The following is an 18,176-nucleotide window of genomic DNA, read 5'->3' as shown; positions in this document are numbered from 1 at the left end:
AATGTGAGTGAATTCACCAAGAGTGAATTCTAATATAAACTATGGACTTTGGGTGATGATGTGTGAATGTAGGTTCATCAGTTGTAACAAATGTACTACTCTGGTGAGGGATGTTGTTAATGGGGGAGGCTGGGCAAGTGTAGGGACGGGGTATATGAGAAATCTCTGTACAATTTATTCTTTGCTGTCAAACTAAAATTTCTCTTTTAAAAAGTTTTAAATGCACAAACAAAAAACCCAGATCACAGCATCTCATTCACAGAGTATGCGAGGATTAAATGAGATAATCCATGAAAAGGGCTTGCCCAGGAACTGGCATAGAGTCAGTGTTAGCTATTTTATGATTTCTAGTTGAAAAGTGTTTTGGGCTAATACGGTAAGATCCTCATATGCTTGTAGACTAACTTCCCCATTTGATAGATGGAGGAAGTGAGGTTCAGAGAGGGAAAAGGACCTGCCCATCATCACATGGTGAGTAAGGGTGAAAGATCCTCAAGTTCAGGGCTCAAAACCTGACATTATTGGAAATTCCATGGGCTACAGCACATGGTGGGCCCTCAATAAGTGTGAGTTGAAGAAGACATTCTTTCACTTTGTGGCCTCTACTGCAGCAGTCCCCAACCTGTTTGGTACCAGGGACTGGTTTCATGGAAGACAATTTTCCCTTGGACAGGTTGAAGGAATGGTTTCAGGATGAAACTGTTCCACCTCAGATCATCAGGCATTAGATTTTCATAAGGAAAACACAACCTAGATCCCTCACAAGCGCAGTTCACAATAGGGTTCTCACTCCTGTGAAAATCTAATGCCACCACTGATCTGACAGGAGGTGGAGCTCAGGAGGTAATGCTCGCTCACTCGCCCACCCACTCACCTCCTGCTGTGTGGCCCAGTTCCTAACAGACCACAGACTAGTACCAGTCCACAGACCAGGGGTTGAGGACCTCTGCTCTACTGAAATGCAGCTTACAAATGCTTGGAAAGCAACTCATTTGTAGGCTAGAGATGTTCTCTTTTCTCAAAAATCTGAGGCTCAGTTGTTCTTTCTGAAAAGGCTTAGCTTGTTGGCCAAATGCAGTGATGCTCCATCTTTGTGTGGGTAGAGTTTTTGTTTTATTAGAGTTTCTGAAAGACAAGTGGTCAAGCAGGAGAAGGAGGTTTCTGGTGAAATTAAAACACCCACTTTAGCTTCCATGGACCTTCCAGGGTTGTGGGCTGAGAGAGGGGGATGCTCAGTGCCTGGAGCTTTTCCACAACCAGCCTGGTTCTCAGGCTGCCCCTCACCCCTACAAGGAGGAAGCATCCCTCTAATCCTGTGCCCTTCCAATCTTGCATTCATACTCAGGAATTGCATTTGCCATCTGGTTTTGCAGTCACTCATGTGTATATATCTCCTCTACAGGGCCTTCTCCTTGGAGGCAGACTTCACTCTGTATCCCATCTTCCAGCACGGGGCTGGGTCCACACAGACATGAGATAAATGAATATCAGATAAATGGATGAACCCGGGTGCTGAGGGAGTTAGTACTCAGTACCCCAGAGTTCACAGTACCCAGAACACCCCAGCTGGGAAGATTTGGGAAAGCATTTCTCAACTGCAGTGATCAGCACACTTGATCCCTGAGATACACAGAGGCTGAGACTTCTCTCCAAAATTCCATCACCTAGGAGATCACCAGATGACTACTAATGACTGCAACAAAGTCAAAAGGACAAGTGTGTGCACAAAACCTGCCTCCACACATACCTAGCCTAACCCTGAAATAACTCATCCTGTGTAAATGAGGTGGCTAAGGGCATGAGCTCTGGGGCCATATTTCCTTGGTTCACATCCTGAGTCCACCACTTACTGGCTGTGTGAACTTGGCAAATCATCCAGCTTCTCTGGGACTCAGTTTGCCATCCATGGAATGGGAACAATAACAGTATCTACTTCATAGAGTTATTTAGAGGACTAGACACGGTTGATATATGTAAAGTGCTTAGAACAGTACCAGGTATACAGAAAGCCCTACATAAATGTTTGCTCTTTAATCGTATGAAAACTGAATGTTGCATTCTAAGTTAGACAGAGCTAGACACTTCTACCATCTGTTAAAAAATTGCCTATTAATAAGCTTGGACAACGTCATGAGCATGCCAATTGTGATCCCTATTACCGTATGTTTGTTTCAATTTATAGTTCTGTTGTTCTCTAAAAATTTATTTCACTGTTTCCCTGGAGAGCTAGAGTTATATTCTGAAAGTATTTTTTCTCAGTCTAACACACCTAAAGGGACCAGGAGCAGGAGGGAATGGTCAGGGAAAGGAGAAGATCAGATCACACTCTTCCCTTCCTCACTGTGGGTCCCCAAGCCACAGATAGCCAGACCCCAGCTGGGCTAGGGAGGAGTTTTGAAGTGGATGTGAGACTGCAGTTTTAAATTCAAGAACTGGACTGGACTGGACTTTTAACATCTAAAAAAGAGTATAAATTATTGAGAAGATGCTTGTTCTTATAATCAATAACCCAAAAGCTATTAAATCTGCCATGCAACAATCAGGGGTCAGGGAAGGAAGTGGGCCATAGACAAACTTGGAACAAAGCAAAGCTATTTTTTGTTTATGCTTCATTGAGTTCAGCCTGTCCTATCTGCCAGTTCTGCTTTTTGGGGCTCCTCTGGGCATCTCTAAGAATCAGGGTGTAACACTCGGTGTGCAGTGAGTTGGCCAGAAGCTTCCAACACAATAACAGAGCTACAGAGGGACTCCTCAGTTACCCGAGGGGCCAAAGCAGCCTGTGAGTGGAGGTGGTAGGAGGTTGGCTAGAGAGCACATCTCTCAGCTAATGTGGACAGAGATCCACAGTGGCTCCCCCAAAACCTATGACAGGACCCCTGGCCCCAGCATTTGGGTGACAGTCATAGCAGAAGGCACTTATAGCTAGGAGAAGCCCCCAGTGAGCACCAGTTTGTCAAATGACTCTTGTTGCCTTTCCTCCCCCACTGTCTCCCAACCCCAACCCTGGAGGAGCCAGAAAAGGAAGGAGAAAAAGCTGATCCTACCCCTCTTTCCCAGAGCAAATTCTGAGCCACAAGGAGGAAGAAGGTCTGACTTAGATGTGAGATTGAAGTTTTAAATTGGACTGAACTACACTTTTTAATAGCTGAGAATGAGCTGTAATTATTCAGCCAAGACTGATGTGATGGGTGAACATGGCCAGATGCTGTGGGATTTCCTCTGAAGACATCATCATCAGAGCAGGAAGAGTTGGGTGGAGAACTTTGAAGGCGATTCTTCAAAGTAAGTAAAAATACAGCTAGTTTCCATGTGTACCTCAATAAGTTCATTTCTACTCAGTAAATGGGCTAATGGAAAATGGATACAACACCAGTTTCATAGGGTTATTATCATGAAGGTTAAACGAGTTCACATACGTAAAAGTGATTCACATGGTCCCTGACAAGTAATGTAAATATAAATCATACAACATGTAACAAATATCTGAGGGCTTATTCTGTGCCAGGCATTGTTCTGGGTGTAGGGGATGCATAATGAACAGAAAGTCCTCATAGAGCTTTCATTCTAGAGGAGACAGACAAAACAAAATCATTACGTATATATAATGCTTCTGTATACTCACATGGTAGGTGTATACATAGATATAGATATTTGACAAGCATAGAGTAGCAGTAGGGAAAGTTAGCTATATATCTATATATAGAGAGAAAACTATACTATATAAATGTATAAATATATCTATTTCAAGTCATGATAAATGCTATAAAGAAAAATAAAGCATGGTAAGGAAGGATGGGAGGTGAGATGGAATGAGGCCATCATTTAGAGAATGATGATTTATTTGATGGGTAGAGCACTTGACAGTTTCAAAAAACGCCCTCATAAGCACTGTCTCATTTTATCCCTAGTTTTGTGAGGGATTATTCCTGTCTAAAGATAAGGAAATATGAGCTCAGAAAAGTTCAGTGACTCCAAGTTGGGTGAACTTTCATTACCCTTAACAGCGAAAGCAGGCACAAGACCAGTTCAGCTAGAAGCTTTCACATTCTCTATACTCCCTAAATTAATTCTGGGACCCAAAGTCAATACAGCATTACTGGAAGCCGGTGTTTTTGGGGCTTGGCCACAGACTTGGAAAGAGGATTTACATTTCAGATCTTACTTGCAGCGAAGCAATGGCTGCCACCCACTTTATGAAGAACGGTATCCCAACCAGGTCACCCTGGTTGTCCCTGGGGGACAGCTTCAGCATTGATGTCTGTGTTGCCTCAGCCCACTTGCAAACTGGGTAGAGACTACTACCAATGTATTTGTTCTCCAAAAGCTAAGCTGAAATATTAAACCTCGCCTGCTCTAAGTTAAAAGTTCATCAATGAATTGTAAGTTTGGATGGATCTGCTCAAAGGAAGACTGTCCACGATTTCATCTCAAAGTTTCACAGAACAACTAGTCCCTTTCTCTCAAGGAGATGGCAGCTGCAGCATGCTGGAGTCCTCAGGAAAGGCAAATGTGTCTGGGATTTCAATCCAGCAAGCTCAGTGTGGAAACCCTTAGCAGGCAGCTCCTGTCCTCTGTGGCTGGAAGGACAGCTCCAATGCCCAGTCCATTTGAAACTGATGGCAAGGCAGCTGCACAGAGCATTTGCATTTGTGTTCTTAATGCCATTAGAGTATTTCCTTGTTTTAAGGCTGAAGATAAGATGGAGTTCGGATGTTTTTTAAATGACTATTTTGGAAGCAGCTGGCACTATAATTCTTAGGGAGGAAATGTATTGTTCAGAAAAATATTTTGAAATGCCATTTGGGGTGAGTGAGGTACCTCTATGGGCATAGATGTCAGCAGAAACCAAAGATCGCAGAAGAGAGACATTTGGTGGGGGGTGTCTCAAGGAGGAAGGGGAGAGGAGAATGAGGAGAAGGGAGATGGAAGAGGAGAAAAGGGAGACAGCAGGGTGGAGAAGCACTGGGACTAGCTTTGGGAACCATCAGGGGCAGGGCCAGTAAGCCCCCACTGTGGTGAAGAGGATGAAGAGCATTTTGAAGTGGGGGATGTCTGTTCCGTAGGACCCTGTTTGGGATGTTAACCCTGTTTGGGATGTAAACCTCTCCTACAAATCTCACTCTACTAGGATCACAGAGGCTTCCTGTGGGCTGTCTTGTGAAAAGCAAAGTGGGTACTGAGTTTCCTCCTTGGCTCACTGCAGTATAACACAGGACTCTCTGATAGAACTTTCTGTGATGCTGGGAACGTTTCATTCTGCACTGCCCAATATGGTAGCTTCTAGTCACATGTGGCTCTTGAGTATTTGAAATGTGGTTAATGCAACTGCTAGTGTACTGAAGTTATTATTTTGTTTAAGTTAAACAGCCACACATGGCTAATGACCAGAAGGAAGAGTCTCAAGTCAAGGTGACCCTGAGAATGCAAATGCCTTGAGATTTGCTGAAGTCTTGGGGCAGGCTTGAGACTTAAATTGAAAATGGGACTGGGGTGCTGAGGTGAAGGCGTGCGCTTAAACTGATTTTACCTAGATCAGGAGGTCAAGAAAACCACAAGCTAATAGGGTTACAAAAGTAGTTGAGGAAAAGAGAATAGAGGCTTCTTGTGCAGGCAAATTGGAGTTTCTACAAGTGGTGAGGGTTTTTATTTGTTTTGCAGAATATAAGCTAACAAATGTCTGTTTATGTCCATGCACAGACATCTCATGCAGAATTCATAACAGCAACAGTTGTAATCGCACATGGTAGGTGCTTAATAAATGTCTGAGTTATTGGATGACTGAGTAAACAGTACCTTCCATCATCCACTGACATCATCTCAGTTGACTCTTGCAACATCCCCCTGAGGAAGCTGGGGCAGCTGAGGCTTAGAGAGGTTAGATAATAAGTCCAGGAAAGTCAGGATTCTTGGTCTTTTGGTTCACCCAACCTGTCCCCAACCTGTATGTAAGAGGCCTCATCTGGGCTTTCCACTGTGGCCTCTGCGAGGGGTTTGTAGGTGCCACTGAATATTCCAGGACCGCAAACTCCTGACCAAGCTCTGGTAGCATACACATCCACCTTGTGTGCTCTCCCTTCTCCCACCTGCTGAGGGGCACCTCCATAGCAGAGCCATACTGAGTTCCTTTCTGGGTCCCCACTGCCACTACTTAACACAGGGCCTGCCACACAGCCAGTCTCTACCAATACTGAAGGATTGAAGAAATGAATGAAAGAAATAGCCAAAGGTAGTTTCTCCACTGACTTTTAAAAAAACATCCCTTTCACTTTGGAGAAATCATGTTAATCAACACAAAAATGTTTTTTCCTCCCCAAGTCATCACAGAGCATCCTCCCATTTATTGAATGGAGCCATTTCTCAGCCACTCCATTTTTGGGCTCTCCAGGGTGGCTGGCTCAGCCCTAACACGGCTCTTTGTCTTTTCCTACTGATGATTTATCTTTTGGGGATCTGAAAAGGGAATTCCTGAAACTCATACACTGACCTCTTTCTGCCATTTCAGCCCTTCGTATTCCTGCACTCAGAAAACTGATAAAAAATCATGGTACAGAACAAGCCTATTTTTGTTAGCAGATGCAGAAAAAATTACACATAGAAAAAGGAAGCTAACAAAAGGAGGAAGGTTTAGATGTATTGACTCAAATTGGGTATTTTTTTGGTGTAGCCATCAAATAAATAAATGATCAGTCTTAAAGAATGCCCCAACAGCTTTCCTTGGCCTATTAAATGGGAATGATCACTGCTAACAATTTTTTGTAGACATAGCTCTAAATGTGGATTGCATTTTTTTTATAAGGTGGAAAGAGAACAGTCTGGACTGTAGTGATAATGCAAATAGTACCACTCTTTGCAGAGGACTCCCACACCTCCAATCTAAGGATACAGGGCCATTTCCAGTTTCTCCAGGCATCCACATGACTAAGCCAAGCAGGTTGCCTGTCCCAGGCTGATTGACATCCATGTAACACACTTGTGAGTTCAATATTTGCCTCTCAGAGAAAATAAGTGACTTCATGAAAATTAAGTACTGAGGAAATTCAAGTGAGACATTGAATTTCTTACTTTACAATGTTTTTGAATTGTTTGAAATTTTGATAGCAAAGTATTACAGTGAAGTTGAAGTTGTCAAAGTACCAAAGTAAGTAAGTACTTTGATAACTTAAAAAAAATAACTAAAATGCTTTAAAACTGTGCATAAATTACTTAAAGTTGGGGTGGTAGGGAGGACAAGCCTGATGAGGCTGGACTCACCTTTCCAAAGCTGGCAGCATTGACAGGTTGGGTATCATTCTTCTCGCAGAAATCCAGGTAATGCATATAGAGGGCACTGCGAGGGATGCAGACCCCCTCTGCAATCTCATAGTTCTCCTCCAGCCTAGGGAAATAAACGCCCAATGAGCAAAAAATGTGTTACCTTCCCCAAGCAAGAACGGTCTGTTCTTTCTAGTCCTCCAGAGATGGGCAGTCCTTAGAAATAACGTTCTTTCTACAGGTGGAGAAGCTGGGGCCCAGGAAGACAAAGCAAGCTGCCCAAGGTCATGCCTGGCATTAGTGGCTTGGCAGTGTCAGAATCCTGGCCCCTTTGGGTATGACACCAGGCTACTTTTTCAGCCCAAATTCCCAGATCCTCTACTCTGTACTGTCATTGACCTGGCCTTGTTCTGGCTAGATCAGATACATGCAAACTCCAAAAACTACATAGGGTCTTGTGGGTGCCCCAATCAGCCAGGAATGGAACCACAGACCAACTTGAGGAGCCATTTGTAACAGCTAAAAGCCCAAGGAGGATGTGTCAACATCTTGGAGCTCCTTGGCTGACAAATGCTATGGAGGGGGATTGTCTGGGAAAACCAATGCCCCAGGAGAGGCCTGTATAGCTGTACAGACACTGATCTGCTGACTGAAGGGAGGTCTCATGACCAGAGGAGGAAGTTGGCCCCATGATTACTTTAGAATCCTCTTCTCCTCTGCTGTGCTAGGAATAATGATTCTATACCCATCACCTTCTTAGTGAGTCTCCATTAGGGATTCTGTAGGAGAGATTTTCTACAACTGGGTTTACATCCCAGCCTTGTCACTTGCTGGCTTGGTGACCTTGGGCAAGTTACTTAAGCTCAGGCCTCAGTTTCCTTTTGGTGGGATTGAATTGTAAGTGCCTCCTAAAGTGGTTATAATGATCAGACGAGGTAACGTGTGACAAGCATCCGCATGGTGCCTGGCACGTGCATGGGAAGCACTGAGAAGACGTCAGACCTCCTCATGATTCGTTCTTCCTCTCCAGAAAACATTTTTGGGCACTATATGTCCTGACCGTGTGCTAAATATTGGGGATATAAACAAAAATTAGATACAGGGTTTAAAAAATTTATTATTCTTTAACCCAAACACCAGAATGTAGGCATCCAAATAAATCTTGCCTCCATTGTCCTAGGCACTCTGGAAAGTTAAATACCTTTCCCAAGAAAACTGCTGTGGCACAAGACAATTTGGGAACTTCTCTTAGGGTCATGCCTTCGAAGCCTGGGGCACCTACTGCTAAATCAATGCACCAACAGGAAACATTTCTCCTTTGATCATTAACTAGATTTTAGGAAACAACCCAAAGTTATTTGGAAGCAAGTTTGGGGGATAAAGTGACTGGAAAACCATCCCCCACCCCCAATTTTTTGGTCAAAAATAAGGCATAATTCCAAAGTGATGAAATAAATGTCCTCAAGTGGCTTCAAAACTCCCTCTGAGAGCATTTGCCAAAGAAGTGGCCCAGCGCTGTCGTAAGTGAAGTGGAATGAGGACACGGCCCCCCAAGGTGCCCACTTGAAAGGGCAGCACTCGCTCAACTTATTCCAACATGTGATTGCAAGAACATCAGTTCAATCATTTCATACCCAAACCCCACAGAGGGGGAATACAACCCTAGGGACACAGACCTGTCAGCACCAAGACAAAACCTGGTGCTGAATAGTCCCCGATCATCTCATCTACTTCCCGCGCTTCTGGGATGGGGAACATTGAGTAACTTGGGATAGTTTTTAGAAATGTTCCCAGAAAGAGTTGATGTAATCCTTTCTAGGTGATCAAATTCCTTGAGGCTGGGATAGTGTCTGAGTCAATTCTGCATCATTGAGGTCCAGCATATTCCTTGGCACACAGTAGGGGCTCAGTAAGTGTCTTATGGATAGATTATTTCAGTCATTTATTCATTCAACAAATATTTATTGATCTTATCACCTGCCAGGCGCTGGGGATATCACAGTGAGCAAGATAGTCCATGCTTGCATACAGTGAACAGATTAATGGTAGACAGATGGACAAAGACACAGATAACCTTTAACTCAACAAATATTTACTAAGTGCCAGGCAATGTTCTAGACATTAAGGAAACAGTGGTGAACAAAACAATGGTCCTGTCCTGAACAGGCTTACATTCTGATGTATGTCTTTGACATCATAAATTGGAATTCTAAGTGTGTTTTCCAGTGGGAAAAGGGTTTCACATAAAGAATAGGTTTCTTAGGACTGTCCTAAGTTTCAGGTCCAGTATGAATGAAAATCAGCCTGGGAGGTTAGCCTGGACCCCTAACTGCCATTCGCGGCATTGTTTCTCTATAAAAGTGAGTTCAGAGGTCCAAATAACCAGCTCGCGTACAAACTTGTAGGGGCCATCTGAATAAGACAGCTTTCTCAAACTGGGGTCTCACAGACATGCTTTGTTTTGGCCTGAACAGTGTTGGCCCAATTTTTAAAATTCAGGACATTGCACATAAGAATCTGGATTTCTGGCTTCTTTTGAAAAAGCTGAGATCTGGCAACACTGGACCCATATTCCCGCACGACAACAATTGGCCAGAGCTACATGTGCCCTGAAGTTGGCCAGAGTCCTCACTCCTCCCTATTTCTTTGTACCCTGTCTATTTTCTGTTCCTTGTCTGGCTCCTGTAGGCACTTGTGTTGGCATAAGACATGATCTATGTCCTAGTTAACTTTGCAGTCTATTTGGGGAGACATATGCACAAGAAATAATATTTAATTACTATAAACTCCTGACCATAGGTACAGTTGAAGGTGGGAAAACAGAGAGATTGATGTGTAGATGAGAGTAGATAATTAAAGTTTCATAGAAGAGTTGGGTTTAGGATTGTGTAACAACAACAGTTAGCATCTGTTGAGCTCTTACTAGGTGCTGGGCACTGGGTATCCATGGTCTCATTTGACCTCACAATAACCGTATGGCATGAGGTAGGTATTTATACATATGTTTCAGGATAGGAATCTGAGGCTCAGAGGGTGTAACTCATTTGCCCAGTCATGCAGCTAGTAAATAGGAGGGTTTGTCTCATTCCAAATCTCTCTGGTATTCTGCCACGGTAGTTGGGGGAGGGAGGGAGGTTCCAGGCAAGTAGAACAGCAAGGATGGGAGACAGTGCCATGTGCTTTTAATGATGGAGATGCTGATCTGAGTAAAGAGAGAAGGAAAGGGTATCTAAAGGGAAGAACTATGGGAGGTGGAGGGAGTCTTTAAATGCCACACAAATGGATATGATTTGGCTTAAGAATTTAGCACCCACTTGGAGTTCAAGAGTTACTATAAAAATGTTATTTTCAGAAGAAGGTGGTAGAATTGTACTCAGGAGGACTGAAAGAAACAAAGACTCAAAGGAGTCGGGAAGACCTGAGTGCTTCCGGGATGCTATAGGAATAATAATGATGATAATAATAATAATATCATCAGTAACAACAATAACTGACATTAATTTAAAGCTTAATACGTTCTATTTGCCAGGAATGGCTTGAGTATAATAAAAGAATGTCAAACAACAAAACAACAACAAAACACCTGTCTCATAGGTATCATCTTAGACTTTTTTTTTTTCTTTTGAGACAGAGTTTCGCTCTGTCACCCAGGCTGGAGTGAAATGGCGACATCTCGGCTCACCGCAACCTCCGCCTCCCCGGTTCAAGCAATTCTCCTGCCTCAGTTTCCTGAGTAGCTGGGACTACAGGTGTCCCACACCTGGCTAATTTTTGTATTTTTAGTAAAGATAGGGTTTCTCCATGTTGGCCAGGCTGGTCTCGAACTCCTGACCTCAAGTGATCCTCCCACCTCAGCCTCCCAAAGTGCTGGGATTACAGGCATGAGCCACAGCGCCTGGCCATCTTTGACTTTTGAGAGTTCCATTAAGCAATTTTTAAGAGATTTGACTTCAACACTTGTAGTGGAACATTTTCCAGTCTCATGCATACACATGAACAATTTGGGCAACTGCAATTTTGTGTATGACAAGCTGTGGGGAAGATAAAAGTATCCCTTTTTGCTTATTTTTGCTAATGGCTTCCTAGAATTTATTTTGGCTAAAAAAAAATCCATGAACACACTAAACAAATGTGTATTTCAAACCATTCAGAATTCATCTTGCATATGATTATTTAAATTGATAGAAATCCTTTAAAACCAATTAGATTTTTTAAAGCATGGGAGTGGCATGATCAATGCATTCTTTGGAAAGTTTGCTCTGTACCTCTAGGGGAGGTGGCCCAGGAGGACGATCAAAGCCTGGCACATAGTGGCTGATTAATTAGGACTTGTTGAATGAATGAATGAACACAGGAGACCAATTAGGAGCTACTATAATAGTTCTGGCAGGAAATGATGGGGCATGAACTGAAGCAATGGTTGTGGGGGCAGAGGTAACACTTAGGGTGTGGGCCTCATGCTGCCAGATGTGAGGAGGACAGGAGTAACCAAGCAAACCCTCAGGTTCCTAACTGGGCAGAATGGATGAATGGGGGGCTCCATTCTCCACTACCAGAAATGCAGAAGGAGAGGACAGTTAAGGGTGAAAATCATGCTTTCAAATGCAGCATTAAACAGCATGAGTTTCTAAGTAAGTTACTTTATTTAAGCTCCTTGTGCCTCAGTTTCCATTTGCTGTTCTTGTGGCTTGTGTGCTTACTAAATCTGGCCAAGAGGTCAAGATTAAAATACAAGATCATGGTTAAGAAACATCACATCAAATGAACCCATAGCAGCAACAAACTATTCAAATCAGATGGGTGTAAGTCATGGTTCACACAGGCTGGGCTAATTAAACAGTTACCTGTCAAAGGCCAGAGCCTCCTAAATTACTACATTTCAGCCCACGTTTTGTTCCTCTTTCCGGAGCTTCTGAGCCTCAAAGTAACTAGGTGGCTTATAACTATGAAGCATTTTAATAAGCTCTATGAACAAATGGATGTAATTGGCATGGAAGGGCCCCTTTGATGCTTGATAAGTTTCTACAGGAATAGCATCATGACACCTTTGCCCAAAACCAGAGGTTCTGCCTATCTACTAAAGTTGCTAATTGGAATGTCCACTTCCCTGACCAAAGCATGGCAGAAAGAAAGGCAGTTAATTATTCTTCTTCATATCTGATGAAATTTTCTCGTTTCCTCCTCTCTTTTAGAGGACATCATTAGTCTGACATGGTGAACAATGCTCCATTATACCTGGGTTTTTTTTAATGATCACAAAAAAATTCCCACTTCTTCCATTTTCCTTATCTTCTATTTAACAACTTGATTATATTTGAATTGAGCCTATCCTATTATGGAGAGATAATGAGCTCAGTCTGCTAGCTAACATGAGTCATTATCTGAGTTATATATTTTTAAGAAGACTTCCTCACAAGGTTTCAGCATGTGGCCTCCTAAGGCACATGGAGGAAGCTTTGTATCAGCACTTTACAATGAAAAGCAAATGTTTCGGCACCTGGCATCATTTCCCACTGTCCTCATTTTAAACCTGTGATTTCTTATATGTATATGCAGAGATCTTTTAAACTGATTAGATGTTTTATAGCATGGGGGCAGCATGATCGATGTATTCTTAGGAAAGGTCGCTCTGCGTCAGTTCAAAGTGCCCACTCCTCAAGTTCTTGCACACATGTCAAGAACAGAAACTTTTTCATTCTCTTTTACCAAAAAAAAAAAAAAAAAACCCCACAGGATTTTTTTTTTTTACAGAAAGCCCAGACTTTACAAGACAACAGGATTTTTAAAAATATTAACTATTTTAACTTATCACTGAAGTTGTCACAGAGATCTGAGACTGTAAACTATGTAGAAAAAAAAAAAACCCTTGCTAAGCAATCAGGACAAGACAGTAGTCTACACCCGTCAACGGCTCCCTGTTCCCTCTCCACAAAAGTCTGGATTCCTGACCGTGGCATCCAAGGCCCCTGGCTCCTTTTCCGTCCTGCTTTCCCACACGTATACCTCTTTCCAGCCAACTGGATCGTTTCCTGCTCCTGAGACACACCTTGTCACCTTCCACCCACACACACGATCCATCACCTTCCTACCGCAGGGGATGACCTCCTCCACCGTGTTCCACGCATCAAGGCGCAACTCACATTTCTCTTCCATGGAACTATGTTCAGTGCACACTCAACCCCATCTGCTAACCACTTCTTCATCCTTTCCTCCCTGCCAAATTCATTTATTCATTCAATAACATGTAGAGTGCTGCAGTGGTCTAAATGCCAGCTGCTGTTATGTCTGTAGGAAAAGCCACATCCTCTGCTTGTAAAGCTCTCACTACTTCCCAGGGATGGCCATGGTTCCTCATAGCTTATGGCTCAAATAGCTTCATCAGGAGCCAGCACTGGTTTTAGAGTTTGAGATCACTGACTTTGAATCCTGCCTCCACCACTTACAAGCATATAGCCTGGGGCACGTTACTTGAACTCTCTCACTTCCTTCATCTGTAAAATGAGAGAAACTGTACCATCTCCCAAGCTTGCTGTGAGGACTAGACAAGAATCCATGCACAGCCTGAGGCCCTTTATTGTGGGGGACACTCAATAAAGAGTAACAATTAGCATTATTTTACAATATTGTGGAATATTCAGGTAATGTTTTGTATCTTAAACTGAAAGTCCTTTGATGGCAGGGATCAAACCAAATTCCTATTGATGTTAACATAGTTCCTAGCACTGTGTCCTGAACACAGTCAGTAAACACTGCAGGAGGAAGGAGGGGAAAGGAGGAAAGGCCAATAAGAAGGAAGGCAGGCTTTTGCACAGGTCAAGGGATTCTGGTATTTTATTAATCTTAATATCTGGGTAGTTAAAGGAAAAGCATGGTTAATATTAATATATTTGATTTATATTTTCAAGTGCCTACCCTGCGCTAGGGATGTTCATATTGGCTATCACTACCCCCACAAGATGAGTAAACACTATGCCCTAGGACATAGAGGAAGAAATGGAGGGCCAAGGAAGTAAAGTGGCTTGTCCACAGCGACTCTGCTGGGAAAAGCTAGGCTTAAAAAGTATGAACTCAGGTATGATGCCTCTAAAGTTCTCACTATGTGCCAGAGACTGACATTCATTTGGTTAGTCAGAATACATTTATTGAGCACCTACTATATGCCAGGCACTGTAGAATACAGCCATGAACAAGAAGATGCTACTCTTGCCCCAGCCTTTAAGAAACTGACAGTTTACCAGAAGGAAGATGGGAGCTAGGGAGATAACACCACCAGACAGCAAATGAATAGAAAACAGTGGGCTTTGGCTCATACAGGCTCTGGTTAGGACTGAGGCTAAGTCTAGAAAACTCCAAAGCAAAATAAAACAAACAAAAAAACAATCTATTTCATTACACAACCATTAAGCCATGCTTTGCTGCCAAGTAGACGAGCCAATCAGAAACATGCATTTGTGTGGACACTGACATTTCTCAGGGGACTTCAGCTGACCCAGCTTCCTTGTTGTTGAGGATTTCCCTGGGGAGTCAGGAATGTCCCCCTCTTTGTGTAGAAAGAGACTACCTTGGTTTCCTCCTCTTTAAATACAGGTAGCTGTCCTGCCTTCTCTACAGGATTTTCATGAGGATTAGGTGTGCTCAGCAGTGACATCACCTGACAAGCCTGGCATCCCACGGGTGATTGCTGAACCTGTAGGTTTGGCTGATGTGGGGCAATGGACTGAATCAGAGATTTATTCCTGCCATTGTAATGTCTAAACTGGACCAGAACAGTAGTCATCCAATTCCTACGCTGGGTTTGACCTACAACCTACTGAATTAGTGTTCTAGTAAGGCCTGGGCTTAGGTAGCTTCTGGAATCTCTCAGCTCAGTTTTTGGTTATTCAAGTCCCCTCTTTTTTTTTTTTTTTTTTTTTTTTTTTTGGATAAAACTAGGCAATGTATTAAGCACAGTGTTGCAATTTCCATTTGGTTCCGAATGCTTCTTTTGGGGCCTAGGCTACAGGTTTGCAGCCCAGAGCTCTGGTTGTCCTGGACAGTAGCTGAGGTGATTTTGGCACCATCCCCTACCAGAAGCTACCTCCTCAGTGGTCCCTTTCCACCTATACCCAGTACTCTACTCATCTCTACTGCACTTTGCCATTATGAATAAGGCCCCGCAGAACATCTTCGTATGTGCCCCCTTACACACCTGTGTGGGAGTGTTTCTCCCTGCCAGCATCAAGAAGCACAGCTGCTGGCTGCATGTGCTTCAAATGCTAATGGATTGCAAAATTGCCCGTCAAATGGCTTTACCATTTGACACATTTACCCACAGCACAAAATACTTTTTTTAAAAAAAGTTGTGGTTCCACAACACAGCATCTCATTCCCTGAGAAATTTCTGCCCTTGGCATTGGGTTGTCCAGCTTAACTGACCTTTCTCCATCTGTAGCTGAGGTCATCCGGAGGGACACAGTCACATCTAGTGGCATTATCTATCAACACTGGTTGTGTTCAGAGCTAAAAGTGTTCAGCCTCCCTTTTTAGAACCATGTTACCTAACTCACATTATGAAAGCAATGTTCTGTCACTGTTGAGTAAGAATCAAGTCACAAAAGGGTGCAAAATGTCAGTTATCGGTTACATCCAATGAGTCTGATCTAGCAGCTGTGATCTGGTCTAAAATGTCAATGTATTTCTTCTTTGGAACAGTGCCAAACCCAATGTCTTACCTATGACCTTCCAGAACATTCTAAAGAGAAATTATAAATTTCTTTTGTTTCATATTAATTTGGAATATTGATAGCTTGTCAACCACCCAAGTCCTCAATTTAATTTTTTTCAAAAGAAAGGAAAATCTCCCCCCAATCCCCCCCGAAAGTGACAATTTGATCTTCTGTCCTCCTTTTTGGAAGAGCCTCATTTCTTCAGTAAATTGCTGGAAGGGAAAACGTCCCCACCCAGAAGGCGTACAAGGAGCTCTGGGTAAGGGCGGCAAGGGTGGCGGGCGAGGGCGGGGCACGGAGGGGGCATGTGTTGGCAGCAAGTAGGCCGGGACTGCGGAACAGGCTGCTTTCCATTTCGAAATTCTCTGCATGAATAGAGGTTATTGTGCGGCCGGGATTCCAGCAGCGCTCACCATCCCCAGTGAGTTGGGATTTACTAACCCTCGTGACCGAGGATGCTGGAAAGTGTTTGGCAGAAGGCATTTGACAATATTTGCCTGTTTTCTGCTGGGAGTTGCCTCCAGATCACGTGTCCCCAATTATTTTAGGCTGCTTGGCTGCTGTATTATTTGTTCTTAGAGCGGTGTTATTTGTTCTAGGGGGAGGGGGAGGGGGTTTGTGGCAAGGAAGGGGAAGAAGGAGAAGCAAATAGCTCCTAACCCAATTCCAATAACAAGCCAAATGTCCCAGGAGAGCTCGACACTGTCAGGCGGGTGGCGGGCGCCTTAGTGGTGCGGCCAGTGTCCTTTCCTGGGCCTGCCCTCCTCTCTGTCCTCAGGGGCTGGCCACTGCCGCTGGAGAGAGGGCACAGCATGAAGGACATAAATGCCTCAGAGAATGAGATGCTTGTCCTAGCATTAGGTTCCTGTTTTGTTTTGTAAGTATTTTGCACTGCAGATGAAGATATAAAATGGTAAAGCCATTTGATGGGTAATTTTGCAATCCCATCAACACTTTAAGTGTTAATGGAGCAATTCTGTTTCTTGATACAGACATGAAGAAACACTCCCACGGTGTCCAAGGGGGCACACACGAAGATGTTCCGTGAGGCCCTACTTGTAATGGCAAAGATGAGATTTGAACAAAACTTAAATGTTCATCAAAAGGGAAGTGGCGCCGGGTGGGGTGGCTCATGCCTGTAATCCCAACACTTTGGGAGGCTGAGGCCGGTGGATCACTTGAGGTCAGGAGTTCAAAACCAGCCTGGCCAACATGGTAAAACCCCATCTCTACCAAAATACAAAAATTAGCTGGATGTGGCGGTGCGCGCCTGTAATCCCAGCTTCTTAGAAGGCTGAGGCAGGAGAATTGCTTGAACCTGGGAGGTGGAAGTTGCAGTGAGCCGAGATCACACCATTGCACTCCAGCCTGAGTGACAGAGCAAGGCTCTGTCTCAAAAAAAAAAAAAAAAAAAAAGGGGAAATGGCAACATTAATTCTGCCATTGTCTTATGCTAAACACTGAGCTGCAGTTAAAATGAGGTTGTTCTTTATGAACCATGAGTGTAGCTTCAGGACATTCTACTAAGGAAGAAAGCAAGTAGTGGATCAATACAGCATAACAGGTTGCGGGTCAATATTTTTAGTGTGATACATCTGCATGCTTTTTATAAAGGAGACAATGCTAAATTAAAAACCATACTTCAGAAACTTCTACAGATACATATGTGTGCAAATTCATAGGGAAGGGTCTGTAATACATATCTACACATATGTATACACACAAGTGCACACATGCACACACATGTCTCACTGAATAGGGTTGCTTTTGAGGAGAAGGCAAAGAACTACAAGGAGAAATGGACTGGAGTCTTACCTATAATGTTTTTAATTTTTTAACAAGGAAATGTATTTCTTGTGTAAACAAAATAAAAGTAAAGCAAAAATATATTTATTAAATTTACTTATATCCTGGGTTTTTTTTTAAGCTAGCAAAAGAAGAAGAAAATTAGACAAAGGAAAGAAGTGATTGCAAAAGTCTGTAAGCATCAGATTTAGCTCTCAACCCCACGGCAGCCACAGCAAAAAGGGGACACGTTGTAAATCATGTCACTTTTCCTTGTAAAATGGAGGGTGCATCCACTCTCTTTTGAGAGAGAAAGTTTTTATACTGAAACCATATTTTTTAAAAGATGATACATGTGCAGCTTTACGTAGGAGGTCACATGTTCTCCACACCGTTTTAAGCATGACTGTTCCTATCTAAGTTTAATGTCCTACT

General features: G+C 43.2%; 1 protein-coding gene and 1 long non-coding RNA gene across 3 annotated transcripts in view, besides 1 other annotated feature; one reads left to right on the top strand and one right to left on the bottom strand.

Annotated features, from left to right (window-relative positions):
- Window positions 1–18,176, top strand: part of LOC100287944 (uncharacterized) — a 278,422-nt gene that overhangs the window by 113,229 nt on the left and 147,017 nt on the right. The gene's annotated exons all lie outside the window — the stretch shown is intronic.
- The window catches only part of RFX4 (regulatory factor X4), a 179,800-nt gene that overhangs the window by 101,201 nt on the left and 60,423 nt on the right, over window positions 1–18,176 (bottom strand). For both annotated transcript variants that reach the window (NM_213594.3, NM_001206691.2), the window contains exon 4: window positions 7,252–7,375. In NM_213594.3, the coding sequence (NP_998759.1) occupies window positions 7,252–7,375 (124 nt within the window). The remainder of the gene's footprint in view (window positions 1–7,251; window positions 7,376–18,176) is intronic.
- Window positions 16,667–17,168: an enhancer, noted in NCBI's record as "H3K4me1 hESC enhancer chr12:107038213-107038714 (GRCh37/hg19 assembly coordinates)". NCBI's record gives its function as "activates a minimal SCP1, AML or CMV promoter by ChIP-STARR-seq in primed H9 embryonic stem cells {active_cell/tissue: H9 hESC(primed)}" and the evidence as "EXISTENCE:reporter gene assay evidence [ECO:0000049][PMID:30033119]".

The sequence above is a fragment of the Homo sapiens genome, chromosome 12, assembly GCF_000001405.40.
Source record: "Homo sapiens chromosome 12, GRCh38.p14 Primary Assembly".
In the NCBI taxonomy this organism is placed as follows: domain Eukaryota; kingdom Metazoa; phylum Chordata; class Mammalia; order Primates; family Hominidae; genus Homo; species Homo sapiens.
The sequence above is the reverse complement of the archived record's forward strand: the minus strand, read 5'-3'. Positions and strand labels throughout refer to the sequence as shown.